General features: G+C 41.4%; 1 long non-coding RNA gene across 5 annotated transcripts in view, besides 2 other annotated features; it reads left to right on the top strand.

Moving 5' to 3' along the window:
* Positions 1–21,099, top strand: part of LOC105376387 (uncharacterized) — a 294,200-nt gene that overhangs the window by 136,020 nt on the left and 137,081 nt on the right. The window lies entirely within an intron of this gene.
* Positions 9,075–10,274: an enhancer, noted in NCBI's record as "BRD4-independent group 4 enhancer chr10:7014138-7015337 (GRCh37/hg19 assembly coordinates)". NCBI's record gives its function as "activates an origin of replication core promoter dependent on BRD2, P300/CBP, MED14 and CDK7 cofactors, and independent of BRD4, by STARR-seq in HCT116 cells {active_cell/tissue: HCT116}" and the evidence as "EXISTENCE:reporter gene assay evidence [ECO:0000049][PMID:35650434]".
* Positions 9,105–9,274: an enhancer, noted in NCBI's record as "experimental_16612 CRE fragment used in MPRA reporter constructs". NCBI's record gives its function as "activates a minimal promoter by MPRAs in K562 erythroleukemia cells, with activity observed for both the introgressed and non-introgressed 10:7015223 variant alleles {active_cell/tissue: K562}" and the evidence as "EXISTENCE:reporter gene assay evidence [ECO:0000049][PMID:34662402]".

Here is a 21,099-nt window from a genome sequence, read left to right as displayed (position 1 = left end):
TATGAAACATAAGTTACACAAAAAAATGTGTTATAAAAGAAAACTCATTGTGATCTCATGGAAAGATTCAGAAATGGGTCACCTTCGATGGATGTAATTATTTAACCTTCTTGGCTATATCACTTGGCTATTACACTGTCCAAATCTGAGTTAAATACCCAAAGAAGTCAGGAGCATCTCTTCCATAACAATCCCAATAGTTTAACTCATTTCCCATTTGCCCTGAGAATACTTTTGGAACATCATGATGTTCCATTAGGATTAGAGACAAGTTCTGTTTAGAAACAACTCCAAGAACAGTTTTTATATTTTATTTTCACATTGAAAATCATTTAGATTTGCTTCGGCCTCAACGAGCTTGTTTATGTAAAATTAAATAAACGGTGGCAGCGAGCTGCATTTATTTTTTTCCTAAATGGGAAAAGGGTTGAAGAACAGGGCACACTGTAGTCTTAATACCTGGATAGCACTTGGAAAATGAATTTGAAATATTTCTCCCAATATCGAGGCTTGAGCTCCCATTGAAAAATGCCTCCCAATAGGATTGCTCCCTCTTGACTATTTAAGCAGGGTTTTTAAGCTTAAAAAACAAATAAACAAAAGCAGAGACAAAATGGCAGTGTAAGAGGTATGATGAGGAGGCTATGGAATCTTTAATAAGCAGTTCTTTTTCCTACTCCCTGCTTCTCTTCCCAGCCTATGGAAACTACCATCCTCTCTACCTCTATGAAATCCACTTTTTTTTTTTTTTTTTGACAGAGTCTTGCTCTGTCGCCCAAGCTGGAGTACAGTGGCACAATCTCGACTCACTGCAAACTCTGCCTCCTGGGTTCAAGTGATTCTCATGCCTCAGCCTCCCAAGTAGCTGGGATTACAGGCGCCCGCCACCACACCCAGCCAATTTTTGTATTTTTAGTAGAGATAGGGTTTCACCATGTTGGCCAGGCTGGTCTCAAACTCCTGGCCTCAAGTGATCTGCCCATCTCAGCCTCCCAAAGTGCTGGGATTACAGGCGTGAGCCACTGCGCCCAGCGAAATCCACTTTGTAAGCTCCCACATATGAATAGAACATGAAATATTTTAGTTGGTTAAGGGGCACAAAAATATAGTTAGATAGAAAGAAGAAGATCGAGTAGTCAATAGCATAGTGGAGAAATTACAGCTAACAATAATTCATTGGATATTGAAAAATAACTAAAAGAGAAACTGTAACTTTGCCAACACAAAGAAAAGATAAATGTTTGAAGTGATAGATATCCAAGTTACCCTGATTGGATCATGACGCGTTGTATACGGGTATCAAAATACCACGTGTACCTCCAAAGTATGTATTACATATCTATTTCTATTTGATAGAAACTATTACATATCAATTTCTAAAAAGGAGTTTTTTCATTTTGTGATTGGAACCCCCAATGACATGTGGTACAGACTTGTCAGTATTTAAGCAACATGAGCTAAGGTACCCAAGGAAGTCACTGAAAAAAACTGCAGAAGGGTTTTCTCGGACACCAGACCCAGGCCCCCTCTGTTTTGATCTGTGCGTGTTGTCTGCAGCTAACAAGAGAGAAGACTAAAGCAGATGCTGGAATCCAGCGCAACCTCTGGAGATTCTGCTCATTCATTTCCTGAGCACCACGGATTCAGACAAGGTGGGACCACCTCACAGAGGACACAGGGGAGGCAGAGGCAGGACAGGCCAGCCCCACGGACACAAAGGACAGTGAGGATGCTGAAAACACTGCAGCCAGCACCTGAGTTCAGAGAATCCTGGAAAGTCTATTCTCCATGCATGATAGGGCACACACGCTTTTGAATAACACAGTTTAAAAGACTTAAAAGCCCAGTGAAGAACTGTGCTAAAAATAGATCTGTGCAGCAAGGTCGCCAAGCCAGCATGAAACAGAGAGAGGTCAAAAAAAGAGGAAAGAAGAAGGAGGGGCGAAGAGGTGCTGGCACCATGTACTGCCCACATGAAAGAAGCCTGGAGCCACCTGCTGCTTCATTCAGATGTTCCCAAGGAAGGTGAACTCTCTTCATTGCACATAGAAAGCACTAGGAGTTTGCTTTCTAGAAATCCAGAAGATTCCTTATATATTCCCCATATCGGTCAGGGGTTCTCAGACTAGGCTGTGCACTAGAACCTTCTAGAGTTTTCCAAAATTACCTGGTTCCTGGGCCCCACTCCTAGAGATTCAATTTGGGGCCAATATTGGTTGTTGGTTTGTTAGTTTAGTTTCTCAGTTGCGTCTAATGCACAGCCAGTGTTGAGAAATGCTGCTTGCATTGACTTGCAGATACCTTTTAAAATTTTGCATTGCCCAGGTGCAGTGGCTCAGTCCTGTAATCTCAGGGATTTGGGAGGCTGAAGTGAGAGGATCACTTGAGCCCAGGAATTTGAGGCTACAGTGAGGTATGGTGACACCACTGCACTCTAGCCTGGGTTACAGAGTGAAACCCTGTCTCTGAAAAAAAATAAAAAATGCCTTGATTACCTTTTCTTTGTGAGGTATTTTAGGCACTTTTGAAATGTTAACGAAAACATCAAAATCTACCATAATAAGCTAGAACAAAAGGATTCCCCAGAGAAACTCTGACACAGGCTTAAACTGCTTCTGTTTCCTCATTTTTATGGTGTGCATTTTTTTTCCCCATTTTAACATATTAGAAGTCAGGATGCATCTTACAGTAATGTCATTGTTTCATCACTGTGGGCCAGTTAGCCATCCTAGTAAGGCTGCCCTGACCTGCACACACGCCAACTTGTTTCTCGCCCTCTGTATCTGGTCCTATGCAAATGCGTTCTGTGCATTGCCGCAGCCATATGTGTGGAGTTTAACAGACGCTTAAAATGTCTTTGGGAAGATTGCAAGATGATTTGGCTTTAACACGGAAAGTTATTGTGTACAAAGAAAGACATGGAAGCAGAGAAGTGGGGCGCACATTTGGTGTTAGGGAAACAATGACTTGTCATTAAAGGAATGACAGCAATTCCTTATGTTCTTGCAAAGCAGCAACCAAGTGTTTCATGGAATCTAAAAGAACACTTCTACAGGGAGAGCTGGATGCCTGTCTCTGCCTTCTGAGACAATGCAGAAAGATTGCCTATCACACCTTTCACACCAGCCAAGCAGGTGAGCGCCAACTGCAAAACTCACAGAGAGGCGAACAGTGGCTCGGAAGGGAAGCTGAGACAATAGGGAGAGACTTTTTTGTTGAAAGGAAAGCTGTCTCATCAGTGCTTTTGAAGGTACAAATGACAGAACGGTGAAAAAGGCTGTCCATCAATAATGGAGCCAAAAAGTAATATAAAAGCATCATTCCCTGAATGCGAAGCAGTTGTAGAAATGCAACTACCAATTTATTTTGCTGATATTTTCTTTTTAAGGTATGAACAAGACAGATAAATTAAAAATGCATAAATAAATCTAAAAGAGCTCTTTTGATAGGTGTGACACAGAACTTCTAAGTAGTAAGAACATGTTGTGCTTGGAGTATTTTTTTTCTTAGCAGTGTTATGTGCCTTACAATTAATTGGGATGTAAGATTTCACGAAACCCTAGTATATAAATGCTCTACCAGCCATTTCTTTTCACATTTTAACATATTGGAAGTGGAAGGAGGGTTGTTTTCTGTAAGCTCTAATGTTCTGGTTATTGGAGACAACCAGGAGGATACAGGAGGACTTTGTGCTTTCACAGAAGACTAATCTATAAAAAATTCACAATGTTGTAAAATACCATAAAAATGAACTAGCATGTTTCCCTGAATAAGTAACTTTACCTCATCAGGCATCATATTCCTTGCATCTAAAATTATAGGGTGAAAAAAATGGTTTCTAAGGACCTATCTGAGTCATAGTTTGAGGCAAGGAAAAGATGAAATGGAACCAATGAAGCCAAAATTAAGGATAGACAGACACAACTTTAAAAATGTTTTATTTGGAAGAAACAATCACATCCCACTTCTCCTTTTGCTGTCTGCCTGTAATGCCTACTTTCACACCCAGAAACTCATTCATTCATTCATTCATTCGTTCATTCATTCGTTTGTGTATTCATTTGTTCATTCATTCATTTGACATGTGCCCAGCATGTGCCCGTCAATGAGGATGAGAGAAGTCAGGTGCATGGGATGGTGCCATCCCTGCCCTCTCAGAAACGAGAGGGGGCAGCAGTAGATTTTATTAAGATTATTTTTCTGGGGACCTGCCGCAGAGCACAGAGCTCTTTGAGATCTGAATCTTGCTTTTAACAGAAATTAGTCCCCTCTTCAAGCAAAGAAATCCCATGGTTCACACTGATGTCTCCTCCTGCTCTCCTGCTCCCAGAATCACAAAGAACTTAGGACAGAGACGAGGAATCTGGGGAATGCTGCCGTGCTGTTTGGTCTTCTTAACCCACATGAGCAGGGTCCAAGAAGGTTTTCCTAGAAAAAGATGATCTGAGATCAGAGCCATTGAGTAGATGTGAAGTTAGAATCGCTAAGAAGAGCTGGAATTCCGGAGTTTCATACCGGCAATTTAATCGCTCTGACAAATGCACTTTGCTCCCGCTAGCAAGAATGTGTAGTCACCATATTAAATGGGATTATGCTAACAAATTTGTCCTGTCTAGCTCTGTGTTTGAGCAAACAGTCAAACAATGATTCGGTCTTGATTCAGGGAGAGGCTGCAGCTAGGCTGGTGGCACATTTCGGTGTTAATTGAAACCGTTAGCAACAAGGAGGGCAACTTTTATTTAATGGCCTTTAAAAGGGATTCTTTCCCTTCAGCATGGTATTATTTCATTTTTGATGACACCAAAACCTTTCCCTCTTGTCTGAAGAGACAGAAAGAAGCAATTGTTTTTGTTAGATGGTCTTCCAGTCCATGGGGACACTTCAGACCGGGTGTAGCTCTGCTTAGAAAGAAGCCACTGGAGTGAGAGTTTCTGGGCAAGGCTGGCACCCTGTGGGGTTTGACAGTCTCAGTTCAGGCATCTTTTGATTTTTTTTGTTGGGGGACACCGGGGTCCAGAAAAAGGTCCCCAGCTGAATGTGTAGCTATCATTAATATGACTCAATAAGTGAGTTGAAACCAAACCATCTAGACTTCTTTCTGGATAATGACAGATTTACTGAGTTACAGTTTAAGCGCTTCTGCTTTGTCCTCTTATCTATCCTTGCTCTGAAATATTTGCCCTTGATTCAGCAATTATCATTTTTATCTGCCTGGATATTTTATTATATAACATTATCATTACTATTGGAAATGTAATCAATTGTAGAGAGATAGCACACTAATATTTGCTCCTAAAAACATCTTCTAGAACTCCTGGGAAGAAGAGACCAGTAATAGCAGCACAACCTGTATTTGGATATATGCAAGTCTCCCTTTAATTTTTTTGTGTTCTCTCATCTCTTGGAAAAAGCAACTAAAGGAGCCAATACAATAGCTGTACAACTTTTGTTAAAAATGATGTCTGTGTGTGTGTGTACTTTCTCCAGCGAGTAAATTCGTGTGCATACATTCTAAACAGTTTGAAAAGACAAGTCTCAAAGAGGGACCTCTACGTGTTTGAATTTTCTACATTAACCACCTATTTATGAATAATTAAAAATGAATATAAACAAGAGAGGGTAGAGTGCCCAAGCAAATTTTTAGAAAAAGCATGCCCTTGTTAGTTAGAAAATAAATAATCACCAGGACAAAGCTTTCTGGGAGACCCGATCCCATGCAGGGAGGGTCTGAGTCATGAGGACAAGAAACTGCTGACACCCTGTATTAGTGTGTTCTTGAATTGCTATAAAGGAATGCCAGAGACTGGGTCATTTATAAAGAAGAGAGGTTTAATTGGCTCATTGTTCCACAGGCTGTAACAGGAAGCATGATGCTGGCATCTGCTCAGGTTCTGGGGAGGCCTCAGGAAGCTTGCAGCCATGGTGGGAGGAGAGTCTCACATGGCAGGAGCAGGAGCCAGAGAGTCAGGGCGGAGGTGCTGCACTCTTAAACAACCAGATCTCATCATGAGAACTCTCACTATTGTGATGAGAGCATCAAGAGGATGGTGCTAAATCATCCATGAGAAACAGCCCTCATGATCCAACCACCTCCCACCAGGCCCCACCTCCAACACTGGGGATTACACTTGAACATGAGATTTGGGTGGGGGCACAGATTCAAACCATATCACACCCTGAGCCATCGCTCTGGGGTGCTGCATGTTATCATCTTGTCTTACTTAATCTCACCACCAGCCCTCTGAGCTAGTACACTCTTGTGTCCATTGTCTAGATGAGGAAGTCAAGGTTCAGAAATCCCAACCCAGTTACCCTACGAGTGGGTGCTAGAGTTGGGATGCCTGCATCCTGCCTGGCCACAGAGCCTGAGGCCTGATCATTGGGCAGGGCTGCTTCCCCCGTTGGGCAGTAGTTATGCCAGGGAGAGGAGTGGAATGAACATTCTTCCTTAGGCTATTCCAGACGGATTCCTTTGCACTTTGGAACTCACAGGTTTGTGTGTGTGTGTGTGTGTTTGAGGGAGTTGTGAGAAAAAGCCTCATTTGATTGTCTATCCTGAATTGCAAAGTCTGAGAAGTCAGAGAGACCCTGTCTACTTTATGCCCTTTGTCTTAGCTTATGACTTAATTTTGCTCTTTAAGCTAGAGCATGGCGCTGACACAGCCCTGGGGGCAGGTTTGAACCTGTTTGAGATCGTTACATTGGCCCAGTCCTTTTTCTGCTGGTCTGTGTCACATATACATGTGTTGATCGAAGGAAGTAAGAGTGTGAGGGCATCCATGTCCCCAGGACAATGCGTTATTACAGGTGAAAAGTCAAAGACTCTCGTAATTATAGGACAGGCCAGGAATACTAATGAACGATTGGAGAATCATAGTAGAACTCTGAACTTTTGCACTCCAATTTCAGAAAAGAACTCAAGTCTAAACAACTCTTTGAAGAAAAAGGCCATTTGCAGCTGACACCTGAGCTTGCTTCTCTGCTACCTGTCTTCTAAAGGAGGTTTAAAAGACTCTGTTCACAGCTCGGTGTTTCAGAGTCTTCCACTGGACAAGAAGGCAGATGTTGTCACTGTGCTGTTTGGCATCTTTGAAGACAGCTTCTGAAATACAAATTATTTTATTTATTACCAACCTTAGTTGTGGAAGACAGTGGCCCCCGAAATGCTTGCAATCATAGAATCCTAGGACAGCAGAGCTGAAACAAGCCTTAGAGATTGTCTAGGCAGACCTGCTCCCTTCCTGGATAGCATGCTCCTTGAGGACATGGCTGTGCCTTCTTTGCTGTCTCTCGGGGTTTAACATAGTGACCGAAGGGGAAACTGAAGCTTAGAGAGGCACAGAACTTGTCCATTAATCAGAGGATGATTCACTGGCAAACAGACCATGGGTAGGTGAATCCAGGGGCCAAAATAAGGAATTACTTTGGAAAACATAAGCTGCAATCAGCTATATGACTGTGTTTCTGAAAAATAGTTTAGAAGAGAAGAGCTGGAAGAAGCCTCAGGGAATTCTCTTTCTCATTATACAGGTGGGGAAACTGAGGCTAAGTGAGGTAAAAAGGCCCCTGTGCAAGATCACACAACTGACCTGTAATAAAGAGATCTAGTGCTGAAATCCAAATCTTTTAACTAATTTTTGTGGTATATTCTATGAAAAAGGCTACCTCTTACACAAGAGTAATTTTTTCTTCTCCTGCAGGTTTTATCAGTGAATAAGTTGCCATGAAGGAGTTAGATCAATGGGTTCCTCTATAGTGGAAAAGGGTAGAGAGAGAGAAAGGGAATCCCATACACGACTGCACTGCCATAGGTGTCACTGACTGCCACTTTCTGCTAGAATTCAGTTATTTCTAAGGCTGGTTTTCTCCTGGTCTCTGTCTGTATGTCTCTCTCTCTCACTCTCTCAAGAATTCTACCTCAGTCACTAGTAAAAACAAAAACTCCCACTGTCCATTGGAAAGTTAGCCAGGCTAATGAAGGAGAAATTGACAAAGACCGTGTTTCCACTCAAAAGCACGTTGCTTTTCCCCTTTTTGCCCAAGTAGATGTGGCCTGCCAGGGCTTCCTTCCTTCAGCTGGGTGGCTCCTTGGAATCTTGAAAACAGCCCAAGAGGTTCTTTAGTGGATGGGCAGAATGGATGTTGTTGACATTTCTGCAGAACAGAAAGATGGTAGCTGCTGTCAAGATCTGACTTGCTGCTGAGGTTGAGTCCTCAGGGAGAGACAGGAATTTGTTCTGAACAAACTGTGGAGCCTATACAACCGAGAAAAGCCTGCATCCTCACTGTGCTGTCTGCAGGCCTGTAGGAAGTGGTGAGCAGAAGTACGTTGTTAGCGTTCCTGTCTTGAGGCTTTCCACCCCGGGTGCAGTCAGGTTCTTCACGTCTTCAACTGTAGATGTGGCTGAGGTTCAAGGGCTTATGTTGTGGCGGCGAAAGATTGAAATCTTGTGAGCAAGATTTAGATCATGCCTCAGCAAAATGACAAGCAAATATGTATCATGAACTTTGGGGTTTATTGTAAATAATCAAAATTCCAAATGCAAACTGTAGTATTTCCAGGGCAGAGAATATGTTCTATAGTTTTGTAATGAACACGTTTGGGTATATGAAGTAAATGTGTATTGTGTGTAAATACTTTATACCATAATAACTGAGAACAAATTCACTGGGGCTGGACATCCTGGGTTTGAATTCTGTTCAAACCACTTGCTAGCTGTTTTACCTTGGTTAGTTACTCAATTTTCCTAAACCTGTTCCTTTATCTGTTAAACATATATAAATAACAATACTTATTGCCATGTTTGTAAGGATTCAATGAGACGATGCTTTTAAAGAGTACTTCCTAAGCACTCAATATATTTAAATGTGATAATAATAATAATCTGTAAGAAATTAGGGTCAGTTTTTATACTCTGCAAGTGCTATGTTAAGAGTTTAGTTTCTGCTGTTACTAAACTTCTTCTCACTACGTAAGTTAATGCAGTTGACAGAATAAGGCCCAATTCATCGGTTTCAGTGCTTGAGGCTTAAGAATAAGAGATGAGAATGATGTGGTTTGGTGAGGGGCAGGCAGGTTTTGTTGAGATCCAATAAAACCAGTTTCCTCCTTTTGAATAGTAGCAGCCAAGAAGAGCCGCCAAGACCACCTATGCTGCCAGACACATCACTCAGAAAGGATGTCCAGATGGCAGGAGAATCTAGCCCCAGGATCGGGATGGAGATTGCGGGGAGGGAGTGGTAGTGATGGATGACATTATTTCCTCCTATGTCCACTTCATCCAAATAGGCTGCTGTCTTTTGATTCAGAGCCTCCTGTTCAGCCTGCTAACTGTATTGACCCAAAAGGATGGGTCTGGGCTATTTGCAGATACGGTACCAAAAAAATGGGCAAGGACTCCTGGAATCTTCTATTGACATTTTGTGCCTCAGGGCAGAGGCCTTCAGGTGTCTGAATGTAAGCATAGCAGACGTTTCTGTTAAGAAAAAGCAAGCGAGCATGTGTCAAAAATTCTGAATTTTTCAAATGCAGTTCATCTCTTTGGTCTTACCTGGTTTGCCACGAAGTCACTTTAAACCTCTTCTCAAATATCTTTCTCTAAATTACATTGTAAAGTGATTTGCTGTGTAAAAGGATAGAGAAAGGCCTTTGTAGGAAACAGATTGACTATACATTTATATCAGAGACAAATCTGAGCTGAGATTTCTGCCAGGGGATCATTAGGGCAACTTGCGATAAGAACTGGAAAATTATTTACAAATAAGATATTGATCAGAAGAGTGAATGGACACTTGAATATTTTTGACCCAGGAAAAATGAAAGAAAACAAACAAACAAAAATAACCAGAAAAGCACAGTAATGCCTGGGGAATGTGTCTTACCGATGGGAGTCCAGACACGAGGCTTTGAATCCTCAGTGGGGACTGATTTGTGACAGCTTCTGTTCTCTTCCTGCTTCTATGCAGTGAAAAGAAGGACCAGGATCCGGGAAGAGAATGGGAGGCTGGGTTGACTCCTCCCTGTCTAACCTAAGTGTCATCGCTAAAAGCATCCATAGGGAATTGACCCCTATGACATTTGCTGACAGGGAACACGCAGCAGCTAGTGATCTCTGAAAAACAAAGGAAAATGAGGACATTTAAGAATATCTGTTTAGGGCACTGTCAAGGGTTAAAAGAAATAAAGAACAGGGAACAGAAACAGCTACGTCATGTGGAGGACCCAGCACAAAATGAAAATGGGGGTCACCTTGTTCAAAAAGCAGAAAAAAAGGTCATTCGTGGGACTAAAATGTAAAGCTTTTTCTTTTCTTTCAAAGCCTCTCCCTCTCTCAACTATTCATGGCATTTTAAAATTTGCCATGTTGACTGAAGTAAAGAAAAATTAAAAATTAAAATGATTAGCATGGATTTCAGTGTTTGTCTTTATACTGTGCAATGCCAATTTTAAATGCAAATATCATTTAACTCGAATGCAGAATCACCAAAATCACACAGTTTCATAACTTACACACCTTGATTTTTTTTTTTCCTTAACAGAACAGTGTGTAAAAGAAACTAAATGCAACTTTGATGCCTGGAAACTGGATTTGATGTTCAGAGCTTGGTCTATACGTTATTGCAAACTGATCTGGCACAGCTAATCCTCATTTTCTCCTGCTTGACATAAACAATCTCTCAGGACATGGATGCAGACCAGGTCACTGTGCAACCAACAAAACCCCAGACATCCCCTTCTCTTGTTCACTGAGTAACTACTATATGATTATCAATTCCAGCCTTTTCCTCACTCTAGTCTGGCCTTCCTCTAGATCAGATTGATTGAGATACCCACTCAGAGTATTGCCGTATTTTCTGATGATACCTACGCTAGGGCAAACCTCTGCCTCCTTAGACTCTCCCCCAAATCACCCAATCAAAGCCCTCATCCTATAATAGGTTCTAACATCCCCTTATGGAGATGTCCCATGGTTCTCATGGTGTGAGTGCTCCCTCACTGCAATGAGTGGTCAACCCAACTTGTTAAACCACAGGTGTGCTCCTGGAGGGTAGCCAGTGGCTACTGTAATGGGCAGTGTTGTTCTGTGTTCAGTGTCTTGTCTAAAGGATCCAAGGAAAATCAGAGCCGTCGCTGTGGCTCCTAGGCAGGGAGAAATGGGGACTGGGATTCTAGAGCAATATTCTGGGAGCTCAACGTTGCTACAGGTAGACCTGGAGCTTTATAGGAGAGAAAGTTAAGATTCTAAGGTAAAATTTGATTGAGGAGGACAATGTGATTTAAGAGCAGAGTGTTGCCAGCGGTGAATGCTTCAGTTACAACTTAGGGGTGAAGTGAAGAAACCCAGGATGGGTGGGAACACAAGAGGAGAAACAGTAAATCCAGAGAGGGAGACCATTTCTGCCTCATTGACTTCAGAGCTGAATGAATCATATTCTCTTTTGGGGGAGATTGTGCCCTGACCTTGCTAGGGTATTAGTCTGGGTCATCTGTGAGCTGGGGACCAAGGTCATTTGATGCCTCCATACAACTGCACCCCTCTTCCGGCTCCAACTCACAATATTCCTGCAAGAGGAAATTCATCATGAGAAGCAAACCTGGCCCCCTGACAGGTGTTCGTGTTGCACAGGAGCTGAGGATTTGCAGCCTGCTAAGTCCTGTGCTTCAAGCAGAGGAATTAAGCGCCATCATGCAAGTGTATCCAATTTCCATTGGAGAATTGCTTTGCAGAAAAATGGCATGGAGCCTGCTCTCCTTTTGGCCAGTTGATTCCCTCAGCTTTCAGGCCCTGACTTAGGATGACTGCAGAGAGCACTCGGAAGGTAGGATGAGAGAGGCTTCGAGTAAAACCTCATTCTGTTTTACAATTCAGAGCTGAAATTGAAGCTGAGAGAGAAGAGCAGGGGACAGACTGGGGAAATGGATTTGATTATTGCATTAACCCACAGAACACTTCAGATGAAAACTTACATAGGGTAATCAATAATTCAGTCTTATCAGTTTGTTATTCTGGGCAGATGACATTTATTTTAATAGGCACTCCTTGGGTAGAGGGCATGACATTTTACTTCTGCTATGCTTCTTTTTTTGAAGCACACAAATGCCTTTGGCTGTTTATCCATTGCTGTCTGGTGCTTCCCAAGTTCCTTTATCCCTTCTATGTCATGTAAGTTTCAGTTGCCTAAGTGGAGAGGGATATATTCTCTTCTCTGTTCCCATTCAGTCTCTATCCTGCCTCTAAAACCCTGCTTTAAATCTCCTTTGTCTAAGACATTTTAGCTAGTTTAACTATACCTGACCAATCACTCCTTTTTGTCCCTAGAAATTGCTTTTGTAATTTGTATTGTATTTGTTTTATGTTTTTCAATGTGTTTTCTTTCTCTGAAGCTACTCTTTTTTAAAAAATCGGTTTTTTTTTCTGGCATTTCTTGCTAGATTTTAAAGTATCTGAGGTTAAAGATGGTGTCTTTCATTTGTCATTGCAACGTTCTTCCAACTGCTGCAACCGTGTCTCCCACTCCTCATTCTTGCAGACTGACATAGACTAACCACAGTCTGAGGGCCAAATATGGCCCTCCACCTGTTTTTATAAATAAAGTTTTATTGGAACACAGTCATGTTCATTAGTTTCTGTGTTGTTTCAGGCTGCTTTTTCGCTACAATGGCTGAGTAACAGCTATGATCATCTGACCCACAAAGCCTGAAATTTACTCTCTGGCTGTTTATAGGAAAAAAAAGTTGTGAGCTCTAGTACAGATTTATGCCCCCAGGCTTCTATACTTACCACAGAATTACAATGAAGAGAGAACATTAGGGTGTCAGAGGGGAAGGAGTACCCATGTTGAGCAGGCATGGTTTTGTGGGGGTTTTTTATTGAGCTATTTATTTATTTATCTCAATAGTTTTGGGGGAACAGGTGGTATTTGGTTACACGAATAAGTTCTTTAGTGGTTATTTCTGAGATTTTGGTGTGCCCATCACCCGAGCAGTGTACATTGTACCCAATATGTAGTCTTTTATCCCTCACCCTCTCCCACCCTATCCCCTGAGGCCCCAAAGTCCATTGTATCATTCTTATGCCTTTGCATCCTCATAGCTTAGCCCCTACTTATGAATGAGAACATACCTTCCATTCCTGAGTTATTTCACTTAGAATAATGGTCTCCAATTCCATCCAGGTTGCTACGAGTGCCATTATTTTGTTCTGTTTTATGGGTGAGTAGTATTCCATGGGGGTGTGTGTGTGTGTGTGTATATATATATATATATATATATATATATATATATATATATATATAATGTTCTCTTTATCCACTCATTGATTGATGGGCATTTGGGCTGGTTTCAAATTTTTGCAGTTGTGAATTGTGCTGCTATAAACGTGTGTGCAAGTATCTTTTGTATAATGAGTTCTTTTTCTCTGGGTAGATACCCAGTAGTGGGATTGCTGGATTGAATGGTAGTTCTACTGTTAGTTTTTTAAGAAATCTCCACACTGTTTTCCACAGTGGTTGTACTAGTTTACATTTGCACCAGCAGCGTAAAAGTGTTCCCTTTTCACTACATCCACACCAACATCTATTATTTGTTTTATTATGGACATTCTTGCAGGAGTAAGGTGGCAACGCATTGTGGTTTTGATTTGCATTTCCCTAATAATCAGTGATATTGAGCATTTTTTTCATATATTTATTGGCCATTTGTATATCTTCTTTTGAGAATTGTCTATTCATGTCCATAGCCCACTTTTTGATGGGTTTGTTTGTTTTTTTCTTGCTGATTTATTTGAGTTCTTTGTAGCTTCTGGATATTAATCTTTTGTTGGATGCATAGTTTGCAAAGATTTTCTCCACCTCTGTGGGTTGTCTGTTTACTCTGCTGACTTCTTTTGCTGTGCAGAAGCTTTTTAGTTAATTAAGTCCAATGTATTTATCTTAGTATTTGTTTCATTTGCTTTTGGGTTCTTGGTCATGAAGTCTTTGCCTGAGCCAGTGTCTAGAAGGTTATTTCCGATGTTATCTTCTAGAATCTTTATGGTTTTAGGTCTCAGATTTAGGTCTTTGAACAATCTTGAGTTGAATCTTACATGAGGTAAGAGATGAGGATCCAGTTTTATTCTTCCATGTGTGGCTTGCCAATTATCCCAGCACCATTTGTTGAGTAGGGTGTCCTTTCCCCACTGTATGTTTTTGTTTGCTTTGTTATGGACCAGTTGGCTGTAAGTATTTGGCTTTATTTCTGGGTTCTCTATTCTGTTCCATTGGCTTCTGTGCCTGTTTTTATACCAGTACCATGCTGTTTTGGTGACTATGGCCTTATACTGTAGTTTGAAATCAGGTAATGTGATGCCTCCAGATTTGTTCTTTTTGCTTAGTCTTGCTTTGGCTATTCGGGCCCTTTTTTTGGTTCTATATGAATTTTTGGATTGTTTTTTCTACTTCTGTGAAGAATGATGGGGCATTTTGTTGGGAATTGCATTGAATTTTGCTTTTAGCAGTATGTTCATTTTCACAATATTGATTCTATCCATACATGTTCATGGGGTGTGTTTCCATTTGTTTGTGTCATCTATTACTTCTTTCACCAGTGTTTTGTAGTTTTCTTTATAGAGGTCTTTTACCTCCTTGGTTAGGTGTATTCCTAAGGTTTTTTTTTTGTCCCCTCCCCCCCACCCCCCCGCAGTTATTGTGAAAGGGGTTGCAATAGCTGTGCTACTGATTTGTGTACATTAATTTTGTATCCTGAAACTTTGCTGAATTCATTTACCAGTTTTAGTAGCTTTTGGATGAGTTTTTAGGGTTTTCTTGGTATACGATCATATATCAGTGAACAGCAACAGTTTGACTTCCTTTTTGCCGATTTGGATGCTTTTTATTTCTTTCTCTTGGAGCAGATGTGGGTTTGAATCCTGCCTGACTTTGTCACTCCCTGGAGAATTTTCTGAAACCGTTAGCGTCTTAAATTTCCTCATTTTTAAAATGGGAACAATAATATCAACTTAGCAGGGCTGTTAAGATCATTACCTGAAATAAGCTGTTAAAAGTTCACAGCATAGTGTTGGATGGATTAAGTAATCACAGTAAAATAAATGCCATAATAATCATGACAAGGACAATCATCATTACCAAATTGTAGCCACTGTGTCAAAGAAAACGACACATAGAATGTGTTTCATTATTACTCTGCAGCCCCAAAGAAAGGGGGAAATGTTGGTATTGGGGAATTCTCTATGAAAATCATTCCTGGAGCCTCCTGACCCTCCTTCCTTCACTTCTCTTCAGAATCCTCATCTTCACCAATGCCAGCGGGCATTGTCTGCCATTCTTAGGCACCAAGATCCAGTATTTATATGCAGTAAAGGTGATTTGCAGCTGTCTAATCTCACATTATTCAGTTTGGTTCTGTAGCCTTAATGAATGCCATTTGGGGTTTCTTTGTTGCACTCATCTTTTCCTGCAGAATGGTAGTTGGAGAAGTGCCTGCTTTCACTTCCATTTCTGACCCAGGAAAGTAAAAGTAGGCATGTGTCTTTTCCACATCCACTGGATTTTGTTTGTTTCTTTTGTATTTTTTTAAGTCCTTTTCTGAATATCCGCTGTCAAATGAAGGCAGATATTGGAATTAGGCTCAACAAGTCGGGTAAAATGTGTTAGTTTTTTTGAGTTTAGCAATTTGTCTGCCATCTTGTTCTTGAATTCTATGGGGAATCCAACGGTAATAAAGCATGGGATCAAAGTGGCACAGCATGGGATTTTAGGTTGTTAAACCATTCAAGGGGGCAGCATAGAACAGTGCAAGGGACAGATGTTGACTCCTGTGCCCACCTGGTTCTGCTGGTGGTGAGTGGCTTCTTGCAGAGCTCTGGGAAATATCCTGAGGGTACTTCTGAGGATCTTAGCTGCAATGAGTCAGGGGTCAAATAGTGATGCCCTCCATGGTTGCCAAAGCAGAGAGGGGGTGAATCTTTTTCCAAATTGAGGAGCTCTTGTTTCCTTCTAACTCTAAGACTTCAATGTTTTCCAACATAGGTGCTATGTCCTAGTCCTTATTACATACCCATAGGGTCTAAAGCAACCTTATGCAAAATAGGTATTCAGCAAAATATTTAATAATCAAATTCATGATAGTGAGATCCCTGTATTTATCTATAGCTATCTGAAATTAAAATTTAAAAAGCCTAGCAAACATATTTATTTTCTACCTTAGTGTGATTATGAGAGGATAATAAATATTTGAGAAGAGTTTTGAGGATTTCAGAGGAAAAAAAATGCATCATATACTTTGAGCTGTTATTCCTTTCACTCCAGAGAGAGTGTACTTTGCAGTAGCCTCAGATCCCTATGGTTTGGTTTCTTGTTTGTATACTTGATTTCTTGTTTGTACACTTTTTTCAGTATCTTCCTGTATTTCTTCCTCTTTCTCTGCCACATTCTATAACTTCACCTTCACATCCACGTCACAAGTCACTTTTGACTACAGATTGAGGATGACAGTGATATGTTTAATTTTATGATGCGCCTCTGTGTCCTGAAAGGTGCAGGAAAACAAGTCTCCAGCCACTTTTACAGTTTAGACATTACACTGTGTTTTGTTTTTTCTCCCTCAGGGGAAGCACTTGAATCTGCCAAACTATAATTATTGTAAATATTATTTCATGCCTATAAGATTAGATTGTAAACTTGTGGATGTCAGGGGCCATGCGTTTGTATTCTCTCGATTAGCAAGCACAGTATAGAGTATTTAATCCACTATCAATAAATATCAGTTGAATGATGTTAAGGACTGAATTGTGTCTCTGTTGTGTCCCCCCGTCAAACACAAGTTGAAGCACTCCTCCCCAGTGTGCCTATATTCAGAGAAATGGACTTTAGGGAGGTAACTAAGGTTAAATGAAGTCATAACGATGTGTAATCTGGTAGGATTAGTGTCCCAATAAAAACAGACACAGTATCTCTCTCTCTCTCCACACACACACAGAGCAGGACTTATAAAGATACAATGAGAAGATGGCCTTCTGCAAACCAAGGAAAGAGACCTCATCAGAAACCAACCCTTCTGACAACTTGGTCTTGGACTTTCCAGCCTCCAGAACTGTGAGAAAATAAATGCCTGTTGCTTAAGCCACCCAGCGTGTGGTATTTGTTACAGCAGCTTAAGGAGACTAATGCAATTGGTTTACTAACTAACCGATAAGTAAATATTTTAGGTTTATTTTATTGTGGATAAAGTTATTCTAAATGCAGTGGTAGGTTAAAAGTTTGGTATTTTCTAAGAAAGCCTTGAAGCCCCAAGGGTTATAAAATTTGACAGATTTGGCCAAATTTCATATACAGCAAAAGATAAATAATATTATTTGAAAACGTGGAACTTTTTTGGCAGTTTGGAAATTCTAGGAAAAAAAAGATAATCTAATAGAAAGCTGGACATAGAACATAAAGAAGGAATTAACAAAATTAAAATACAAATGACTTATAAGCATGTGAAAAGATGTTAAATTTCATGAATAGACACAACTAATGTAAGATAATATATGTATTTTTGACATATTTTTAGTAACAGTTTTAATTTATAGGACAATTGAGAAGATCGCGCAGTTCTCACACTTCCCATGCCCAGTCTGTTCTGTGATTAACATATTACATCAGATTAGTAGACTGATACTGATGCTCCATTGCCTTAGTCTGCTCAGGCTGCTATAATAAAATACTATGCCCTGAGTGGCTTATAAACAGCAACTATTTATTTTTCACAGCTCTGGCGGCTGGGGTCCAGGGGAACGGCCCTGACAATTCAATCAATGTCTGCTGAGGGTTCACTTCTTTGGTCACATGAGGTTCACTTCCTTGGTCACAGAGGGAGCCTTCTTGCTGCATCCTCACATGATGAAAGGAGCTCACTGGAGTCACTTTTGTAAGGGCACTAATTGCATTTATGAGTCTACTAGTCTGTTTTCATGCTGCTGATAAAGACATGCCCAAGACTGGGTAATTTATAAGGAAAAAGAAGTTTAATGGACTCACAGTTCCACGTGGCTGGGGAGGCCTCACAATCATGGTGGAAGGTGAAAGGCACCTCTTACATGGCGGCAGACAAGAGAGAACTTGTGTGAGGAAACTCCTCCTTACAAAACCATCAGATCTCGTGAAACTTATTCACTGTCATGAGAACAGCATGAGAAAGACCCACCCTCCTGATTCAATTACTTCCCTCAGGTTCCATGCCACGACATGTGGGAACTGTGGGAGCTACATACAATTCAAGATGAGATTTGAGTGGGACACAGCCAAATCATATCAATGAGGGCTTTGCTCCCATGACCTAACCACATCCCAGAGGCCCCACCTCCTAACAACATCCCCTTGGGGGTGAGAATATCAGCATTTTAATTTGGAGGGGGAACACAGACATTCAGACTCTAGCAATAATTTATTAATTTAAGTCTATTGTTTATTTAGAATATGTATTTCTATGATTCATAAACTTCAAAAAAATGACAATCTCCAATGACAGCAGAATAGGAAATGTTATATTTAGTTGGTTATATGGTTATTCACTGATATAACTTCCTTGGAGAGCAATTGGACAGAACTATGAAAACATAAGCATGTGTGTCTTTAACACAGCAATTCCACTTGTAGGAATTTTTCTTACAACCATACCCACCCAAGTGCAGAAAGACATTCTTATAGGAGTGGTCTGTTTGGCAAAATTTATAACAACAGCAACAAAAACTATAAGCCACCTAAATGTCCTTCATACCACATGCACACAGAGGAAGGTGTATTTCTTAAAATCTATATAGATCTTATTTATATGGAGACTTATATATGATACATAAATGTATTTTTAGATTTCTATATAGTAACATAATGTGACATTCACAACCTGTTAAGTGAGGAAAGCAAGTGAAGCAAGTTGCTAAACAAGTGCATTTCTTTCATTTCTTTTCTTTTCTTTTTCTTTTTTTTTTTTTTTTTTTTTTTTTTGGTGACAGAGTCTTGCTCTGTGGCCCAGGCTGGAGTGCAGTGGTGCGATCTCGGCTCACTGCAATCTCCACCTCCCAGGTTCAAGTGATTCTCGTGTTTTAGCCTCTCAAGTAGCTGGGATTAAAGGTGTGCACCACCATGCCCAGCTAATTTTTGTATATTTTTCAGTAGAGCCAGGATTTCGTCATGTTGACCAGGCTGGTCTTGAACTCTTGGCCTCAAGTGATCCACCTGCCTCGACCTCCTAAAATGCTGGGTTTACAGGCATGAGCCACCACACCTTGCCTGACAAAGGTACTTCATGTGGGTGGGACAAAGTTTCCTACGTGGGTGTAGATGTAGTGTTGCTGTAAGGTGACCTATTTCTTCCTTACTATGCGACAGCACCCAAACCATGGGGCTCATGAGGATAATGAGGTTGGGGCAAACAGTCTAACCTTGCATCAGGGACACATTAAAACCAAAGACAGGAACATAATACAAAGGGCAGCACAGTTTTACATATAGAACATGGGTAAGAGACACATAAATACTGCAATACATAGGCACTCTGTCTTGGAAAATCCCTGAAGTTTGCCTGTGGCAGGATTGCAGCTCCTGCCTTACTATGAGACCATGAAGGGGGTTATGTGAGGTGGAGGGAAGGATGGACACGTGGTGTGGACAGGTGTGGCCCAGACATGGTGCACTGAGGTAGCCAGCTGTCCTTTGAGGTCATTGTGGGTGCGTTTCGCGGATTCCTAGGCTGTTGTGTGCAGCTGCGTTTGGCTAGTGTTTTCCAGATGAAATCACACATAAGAAAACAGAAAACTCCCGTTGCATTTAGATTGTTCCCCTAATATCTCAATCCCATTAGAACAAATTTGCATTTTCAAAAACAAGTATAGCAGAACAGACTATGTTTCAATATGGTTCTATATACCTGGGGCATATTTGGGGCAAGTCTGACTCCAAAATCTGAGAATGTTGACTCCATCCATCCACTTCTCTCCATCTTCTGATACTTGGGGTGTGCTGTGACTGGAATCTGAAGCTGGAAGGTTTGTATGTCTCCCTCTAGCAGCCAGGTCCTTTCAGCAAGGATTCACCACAATACAGGGCCAGGTGCCCAAGGAATGCACCTCTAGCAATCACTGTGGTTGGGCAAGGTAGGAGGGATAGGGCAAGGGCAGGGCAGGAGTGCTTCTGCTGGGGGTGCTTTGCACCAGGGAGTGTCTAAAAACCCTGGGTCAGTTCCCACCTGGCTGGAGGGGAAGTTGTCGGGATCCTTTCTTGGACCTGCTCTTGTAGATCTACTTGGAGCACTGCCCTGATAAGCATCATAGGGGCTTCTGAGTGTTAACCGAAGCCTTATTACTTAGTGACAAATGCACGCCCCAGGGCTGCAGAAAGCAAGTGATTGGTTATAACAGCGGTTGCAGATTTTTATAGCCAAGGCAAGATAAATGCTTCAACCCAAAGGTTATCACCTCATCCAAGAAGAAACACACACTGAGAATGTTGCAGAAGATTCTCCAGCTCCCAAATCAAAGGATCTCTTTTAACAGTTGTTTAAAACCCCAAGACAGTAATCCGCCCCTCAATACCAGCGTTAGAGTCTCCCATCAGGGGCCGCCTGCCCTTTCCCTCGGGGTTTCATCCTTTTCTTCCTGGACTAGGGCAACTTATTAAGTGGGCAACTTAAGTCCACTTTGTCTCCCTAAAGTTCATTCTCAGCGGAGCAGCCAATGTGAGCTCCTAAAAGCAGGAGTCTAACTGTGGTCTTCCCTTTAGCAGTTTCCTGTTGTTCTGGAATTACAACCCAAGTGACTCCTGAATGGGGTCTCCCAGGCACCAAACGGTCTGGACACTGCCTCCTTCCATTGTCATCTCTTGTCACCTTGTTCCCTTCTCCACTAAGCTTCCAGGCACACAGATGGCTCTTCTGATGCTTGAGCACCACACACTTCCCCCGCCTTTGCCTGAGCCCTCTCCTGGGTGCACTTCCTGAGTCCTTTGCTGGCTGAGCTGCCATCCATCATAACTTAAATCACACCACCTCCAAGAGGCCCTCTGGGACCACCACCCTCTATTAAGAATGGCATTCTTCCTTATCATCTGTCTCCACCCTCCTTC

The sequence above is a fragment of the Homo sapiens genome, chromosome 10 (genome assembly GCF_000001405.40).
Source record: "Homo sapiens chromosome 10, GRCh38.p14 Primary Assembly".
NCBI classification, from domain to species: domain Eukaryota; kingdom Metazoa; phylum Chordata; class Mammalia; order Primates; family Hominidae; genus Homo; species Homo sapiens.
Note: the sequence above shows the minus strand (reverse complement) of the source record. Positions and strands in the feature narration are given on the sequence as shown.